The sequence below is a fragment of the Homo sapiens genome, chromosome X (assembly GCF_000001405.40).
Source record: "Homo sapiens chromosome X, GRCh38.p14 Primary Assembly".
Lineage (NCBI taxonomy): Eukaryota > Metazoa > Chordata > Mammalia > Primates > Hominidae > Homo > Homo sapiens.
In genome coordinates, this window is record NC_000023.11 from 140,430,688 (window position 1) to 140,438,082 (window position 7,395).

Below are 7,395 nucleotides of genomic sequence, written 5' to 3' on the forward strand. Positions count from 1 at the left end.
ATCACACCAGTCATATTAGATGAAGGTCCACTCTAACGACTTTATTTTAACTTGATCATTTACAAAGATCCTATTTCCAAATCACATCACATTCACAGGTACTGGGGGTTAAGACCTCAACAGAAAATTTGGGGAAATAAAATTTAACCCATAATAGTAGGCATCATTATCCTCATTTTACAGATGCCAAAAAGTTAAATAACTTGTCTAAGCTCATACAGCTCCTATTGCTAGAGCTAGGGATTCAGAACTGAGTCATACTAGCTCCAAAATGTTTGTCCTCTGCCTCCCCCTGACATAAAACTGATCAGGTAGCTTTTTTGCTTAAAATCTTTCCCCTCCAATGCCAAGCCTGACTTCTAAGTAGCCCCAGGCACGGGTTCTGGGCTTGGCTTGCATGCTCTATTCTGCAAAACCCATTCCTACCCAGCTTGTGGTAATAGCTGGGCTTCTGCTCCCTTCCAAGAGCACTTCCATCTCTACATTAGACCCAAGTTTAGTAATAATGTCAGTCAGTGTACTTTCACAGACACTGCCTTATTTAATTCCTAACCTTGTGAGATGATTTTGAAGTGTCTACATTTGCCAGATTAGGAAACTGAGACTCAAAATTACTAAATAACTTGCCCAATTTTACAGAGGTCTTAAATGGCATTGCTGTGATTTGAACTCAAGCCTGTCATGCTCTAAGCAAAGTCAATGCTCCCTCTACCACACCACCCTGGACTCTGGAGTCCGCACCAAACTGGGCTAGTGCTCCTGGCATTTGAGGCCTGGGGAGAGGTTCCCTAGGACTTGACATTAAGCTCTAGCCCAGAGCCTGGGGCCCTGCTGCCTGCTGTCAGCCTACCCTGATGTCCATGCTCTGCCCATTGGAGTGCCCATCTAGAGTTGAACATGTTCCCTTTGCCCTTACTCTCCCAGAGAACAGTAGTAGTTCCATACCACAGTCCCTCCCAGGCAATTTCATTCCATTGCTATGAACTGGTTCCTGCTGGCTGTATCCCAGCATATAACACAGCTGAGCGAATGCCTAGTCTATGACCCTGTTGAGTGAATGGAGCTGTTGCTGCTACCCTCGCTGTTACCCCTGGGCACCTCTGCCCAGGCAGGAAGCACAGGAAGCTGCGGCAGTGTCAGTCTCAGCATGCTGCCTGAAAAGACGCCCTCTCTCTTGCCCTCCCCTCACCGCCCCAGAACTGAGTGCCAGATCCAAGCCAATGGGGTATTTTCTGGGATAGCATTCTAAAACAAGTACAGTATCAGCAGAGCATTCTAAAACAACTACAGTATCAGCAGGAAGGAGACAAGTTTAGGGAACTAGGGTAGGTGGAGGATGAGCCCCCAGAGTTCCTGGGCACTAGGCATCAAATAGGAGACAGGAGAAAAGAGAGATAAAGTGAGGAGAGCAACATAAAACCAGAAGAGATGAAGGAAGGTGGAGAAAGGGCTTGAAAGTTCTGCTTGAAGTCTGACTCCCAGTAACTCTGAGTTCTTTAAGGGTTTTCATGTGATCTCACTAAATGGTGTGGATCTACCAGAGCAACAGGACCACCTGGTTCCCCAGAACTTCCCAAGGCTCCAAGCATGTTCCTCACTGCCATATGGGCTGTGGCCTCCCCAAGCATGTTCTTCTCTAGGCGCCGCCTCCAGATAACAGTTTCTAACATCTGGCCTCAGTGTGAGATACCAAGGCCCTTTCACAACAGGCACATAATTTTTTCTGTAAAGACATCATGGGTCTAAAGAACTTGGGATACTTGGATCTACCACTGGACATTCCCCTGGCATGGATTCTGGCAGGAAAGACTCAGGCTGGGCGATAGTCCAGGGCAGACAGTGCTGGCTGGAGTCCCAGTTCCCTGACCTGGCCCACTGCCCTCTTTGGCTATCAGACAACGTTCACAGAGTCTGCAGACATCTGTGTGCCCATAGGAACAGCTAGGGAGCTGCAGGATCTGGAGACACAAGAGGTTCCCCTTTGTCTCCTTCTGTCCTCACTAATGGCCCTTCCCAGCACAGCAGCTGGGTGTTTGGGAAGGGAGTTGGGGGAGGGATTGGCCTCTGACCAGAGGAATACAAGGCTGCCCTTAAAGAGGTGGCCCAGCTGTTGTGAGTGAACACACAGGTGCACATTGGTGGCTTTGACCCTCACGCACACTCTGGTCCCTGGCCAAGGTAAGGGCTGTAAAATGTAGCCAGGCCAGGGTAGCCCTACCCACATTTTTGGAGGACATGCCAATTTGGCTCCCAACCCTGTGTCACTGCTAGGATGTGATCCCCAGAAGGCACAGTAATTCCCACCACATCCACTGAACTCTTGGCATTATCCAGTGAAGCTTACACATGGTATCCATCTGTCGGCATTGTCACATAACATGCCCATCCACATGGGCAGTTCTCCTTCAGTGTCTTTGGACTTCTCCATGATACTCATTTCATTTGATTACCACTTCCCTTGGGCAGCTCAGTCAGTCACACCACCCCACCCCTCATTCTCCCGACTCTTCTTTCCATTGTCTGCACCCCACTCTATCACCGTGTTTCCCAGTACACACACACAAACACACACACACACTCATAATTTGCTACAAGGCCAGTATAAGTGGATTATTTTGTGCCATACATTCTAGGGGCTATTTCTGTTTTTCAATGCCCCATGATTGAGCATGGGCATGTCCCGGTAGTTCTGTGCCTCCCCGCTCCAAGTTTTGTGGCAGATTAAGAATGAGATATCCACCCCTTTCCAACCAGTCATGGATTCAGCCCCACAGTAAAGGAAACAACCTTCAGAGGTGACCCGGTGTGGATGGCAGGGCATCTTGGTTTGGTATTGACAGAGGAGGAAACTGACCTAAGAGAGGGGTTAAGTGACTTTCTCACACAATTAGTGAAAGAAGCAGAGATTGAGCCCTGATCTGATGCTTTTTTCCCCTCTACTTTTAAACCACATTATTTCTCCAGAGACAAAGCCAACAAAAGTGTGATCCAAACACCAGTGCCAGTCTGAGAACTGTTCGTTAGTGGTCCATGACGAAATAAGGAGCTTGCGCCAGAATGTAAATCAATTCACTACTTGCTTCATCAACAATCTTGCTGTGAAAATAAAATGTCAGCTGAACTAAACAGCATGCTTAGTGATTGCTGATTTACATTGGCACAAACTCTCTAGCTCAATGCCGTCCCTGTGTCCAGCAGCCCTGGTGCTGATGACTGTCCAACATGAGGTGGGATCTACTGCAGAACTGTGCCTCACCTTTTGTGTAAGAGGAATGGGTTGTGATAGAGGCTGGAGTCACGGGTCACATGGTTATGTTTAATCACAGCCCCTCAGGACTGAAAATAGCTCTGCACAGCCAAAACTAGTTCCTGGCTGCCCGAACCCAACCCTATAGATAGGGGCTACTCAAAGACCCAGACTGCAAGCGGTTTGTTGCCTTTGTGCATGAAAGTTTCGGTGCCTATCATGTGGCTGTTCCAGTCGTGGGTCTGTTGACCCTCAAGTCCGTTTCTAGCTTTTTGCCTGCTCTGCTTTGTATGGTAGGGGGTCTAACCCCTTCAGGCTCTTTCCCAGGCTGACTTCCCGCTGGGTCTAGCCAATAGGAGGCACTCACTGGAGGAAGAAGGGGGAAAAGAAAAAAGAAGCCAGATAATTTCTTTCCCCTGCTTCTCTGTGTCCCAGAGTGACCAACTTGTCCCAGTTTGTCCAGGACTCTTCTGGTTTCAGCACTGAGAGGCCAATGTCCCAGGAAGCCGTGAAAGTATCTCTGCTTCAAGCAGTTTCTCCTTCAAGGCTGAATCTCTTCTGTGGCTCCAGCCCCTGCTGGTGGCCCCTCCTTCTCTGTCCCAGAGATTGCCACTGTGATTCTAGCTTTCACTGGGTGATCCCAGCCCCTGGCTCTGTACCACTGTCCCCTCCCTTTGTCCCTCCAGCCTATGGGTGTTAGCAGCTTCCTGCTACTACTAATGTCCAGGTTGCCTCTTCAATCCGTTTTGGTTTCTTAGGTCTTCCCTGAACTGTGTCACCAATTTCAGGCATTAAATTCTCACTGTTGTTTACACTTGAAGTGGTTTCTGTTTTACTGCTTAGATTCTGACAATAATACTTACTTTATAGTGTTATCATGAGGATTAAATTAGTTAAATAAACCACTTACAGCATTGCTTGGAACATGGTAATTGCTTGTTAAATGTGAACTGCTGTTATTATTAGTGTAGTGCGAAATAACATTTATCACACGCTTGCCACGTGCCAGGCTAATCACTTTACACCCATGATCGTATTTAAGCCTTACAACCCTTCTACCTGGATGAACGTTGTTCTTGAGCTAATTGTTTAGGCAACCTGTTTGCATTTCACACCCAGAAATTCCCAGGCTCTTCTGAACCACTCCCCTTAGTGAATTCAACCATGTTTCTTATTTACTGAGCATTCTCTCAGGCTTTCAGGACACAAATAGGAATGAAATGGTAACAGGCGATACAGTCTAGTGGGAGAGACTGGTATGTCAGCCAGTTGATTCATCCAAGCAGAGGGCAGTGAAACCCAGAGATAGCAGCAGTGTGGCAAAGTAAGGAAGAGCCTGAGCTCTGGGGTTGGGCTGCCTGGGTTTTGACCTAGGCTCTGCATCTACAAATTAATACATCTACATCCACCTATCATAAGGTAGGGAAGTCATTTTTAAACTCTATGTGCCTCAGTCTCCTCACTTGGCAAAAGTACTCTTTTTATCATACCTGTCCCAAAGGGGTTATTTTAAGGATCAATGAGTTAATATTTGTCAAGTGTTTAGAATATGCACTAAATGCAATGTCTTTCTTAAGTGAAAATAAAATTAATAAGCTGAACCAATTTTAGGGGAACCCAGAGGATGGTGTCACTTGATTCTGCCTACAAGCATTCAGGAAGGCTTCACAAAGGAGGTGACATTGGAGTGGGATCTTAAAGAAGCAGTGGAAGTTTTCCAGATAAAGAAGAAAGCATCTCAAATCATCGGAAAGGCATGTGCAAAAAAGGCACAGAGTCATGAAAAAGGCTGGTATGACTGGGGAGTAATGAGAAATGAGTAGCTGGAATTTGGTGGCAGGATATGAGGCTCAACATTTAGTTTTGGATATGTTGGACAAGATCTTGAGTGTCATGCTAAGGAATTCAGATTTAATTCAGAGGAAAGGAAGGGAGAGCCAACAAAGGACTTTAAGTTTGAGAGAGTAAAATAATCAGCTTTGTTTTGTGGGCATTTCATTCTCATGACAGTGTAAATTTAAAGCTGAAAAACCTGCTCAGGTGTAATAAAAAATATAGTAAAATCAAGTAACCCCAATTGGAACAACCTAAATGTCTATCAACAATAGGATGGATACATTGTGTGTTATATTTGCACAGTGGAACACTATGCAACAGCACTGATAATGAATTACTGCTACGTGCAAAGGACATGGATGAATCTCTCAAGCCTAGTATTGAGCAAAAAAAAAAAAAACAAAAACAAACAACCCCCCCACACACACACACAGACACACAAAAGGGTGCATCCTGTATTATTCCATTTATATAAAGTTCAAAAATAGACAACACTAATCTATGCCATTAGAAGTCAATGGTTATCTCTGAGTGAGGAATAGTGATAGAAAGGGGACCCAAGTAGGGTTTCTGGGCTGCTAGTAATGTTCTCTGTCTTGAATTTGCCCTGGGTGCTGGTTTCATAGGTGTGCTCACTTTATGATCAAATTCAAGACACAGAACACTTGCACTTTAAACCAAAAACAACATGCTTTTTAGTGACATATAGTGTACATATGCAGACAAATCACTTACTGTTTCAAAGTACAAGTGGAGAATATTCAACCCTGCAGAGATCCAACCGACCTTTGACCACAGTGGGATATGAGGATCCATGAACACAGATGTCTATTACAAAGCAGCTGCCCCAAAAGAGAGAGTTTTTCTTTTAGGTATTTCCAGGTGACCCCAATATTATGCTTCTAGATGAACTCAGCTACAATTGGTTGGTCTGCATCATCACCTGTGTTTCTGAAGTTCAAATTTCAAGGACTTTAAACATTGCCTCTAAGGAGAGACAAAGGGGACCAGGATTTGGGAAGGAAGTCAAGGGAAACTCTAGTCTTATCTATAATGGTTTAAGTCCTTACAAGGAGAAGTGTGTTTTAGTCAGGTGTTTATTGTATAGTTAACACTAAACCTGAAAAAAACCTATAGCTCTACCTAGTCATTACATGATAATGAAAAGTAGCAGATATTACTTAATCAGGATTGAAAATTACTGGACCTGGCTTATCATTATGTTAAATTAATGGCTTGCCTGTATATGTTCTTTTTTGATTGACCTTCATGTGAGAAAGGTTGATGGTGTTGGGGACAATTTGCAGATGAGAAAACTGAAGATCTGAGACATTATGTGCGTGGCTCCTGGGCAACCATTTATTAATAGTAGAAAACCACTATCATCACCCTAGTCCAAGCCACCATTATCTCATGCTTGGACAACTACATAGTTTACTAGTTGTTTCCCTAGATTTACTATGTTTCCTAATATGTTTTCTACACTGAAGCTAGAGTGATGTTTTAAGAATGCCATGTTACCCTTTGACTTTTTAATTTTTTATTCTTTTGTAGAGACAGAGTCTTGCTATCTTGTCCAGGCTGCTCTTAAACTCCTGGCCTCAAATGATCCTCCCACCTTGGCCTGCCAAAGCACTGGGATTACAGGCACCTTTTATTTACTAAACTCTTCAATGGCTTCCTAGTGATCTTAGGGTAAGGACTCAAAACATCAGCAGGACTTTGTAGGCCCATGATGGGTAGGCCCCACATGTGTATCTCTCCAGCCCCATCTCATACCATGTTCCTCCTTGTTCTTTATGCTCCAGCCACATTGAATTTTCAGTCCCAGAAACTTGCTATACCCCTTCCAACCACAGGGTCTTGGCATGTGCTGCTCCCTTTGATGTGGATGTTCTAAAATTTATTAGTTTGGCATCAGTCATTTTCCGTTCCTCCAACAAACACCTGTTAACAGGTGGACCTACCTAAGTTAGGAGCCCAATTCTCCTTGTTTCCCTTTGTGTTACTGCAGTTTGAAGCTATTTTAGTCTTTTCAAGGAAAAAATGATCCCAAAGGGACTTAAAATAACAAAGCAAGTGATTGTCAATTATGTTACTTTGAAAGGCAAATTTTGGAAAACAAAAAGCCACCCTTTGAAGAACTGTAAACATTAAAACACAATTAATAACAATAGAAGGCAATATCATCTAATGGTTTAGAAAACAGGCACTGGGGCCAGTGCAGTGGCTCACGCCTGTAATCCCAGCACTCTGGGAGGCCGAGGCAGGCAGATCACGGGGTCAAGAGATCGAGACCATCCTGGCCAACA

General features: G+C 44.6%; 1 annotated feature.

The window, feature by feature from the left end:
- Positions 6,821–7,395: an enhancer, noted in NCBI's record as "NANOG hESC enhancer chrX:139519673-139520247 (GRCh37/hg19 assembly coordinates)". NCBI's record gives its function as "activates a minimal SCP1, AML or CMV promoter by ChIP-STARR-seq in primed H9 embryonic stem cells {active_cell/tissue: H9 hESC(primed)}" and the evidence as "EXISTENCE:reporter gene assay evidence [ECO:0000049][PMID:30033119]".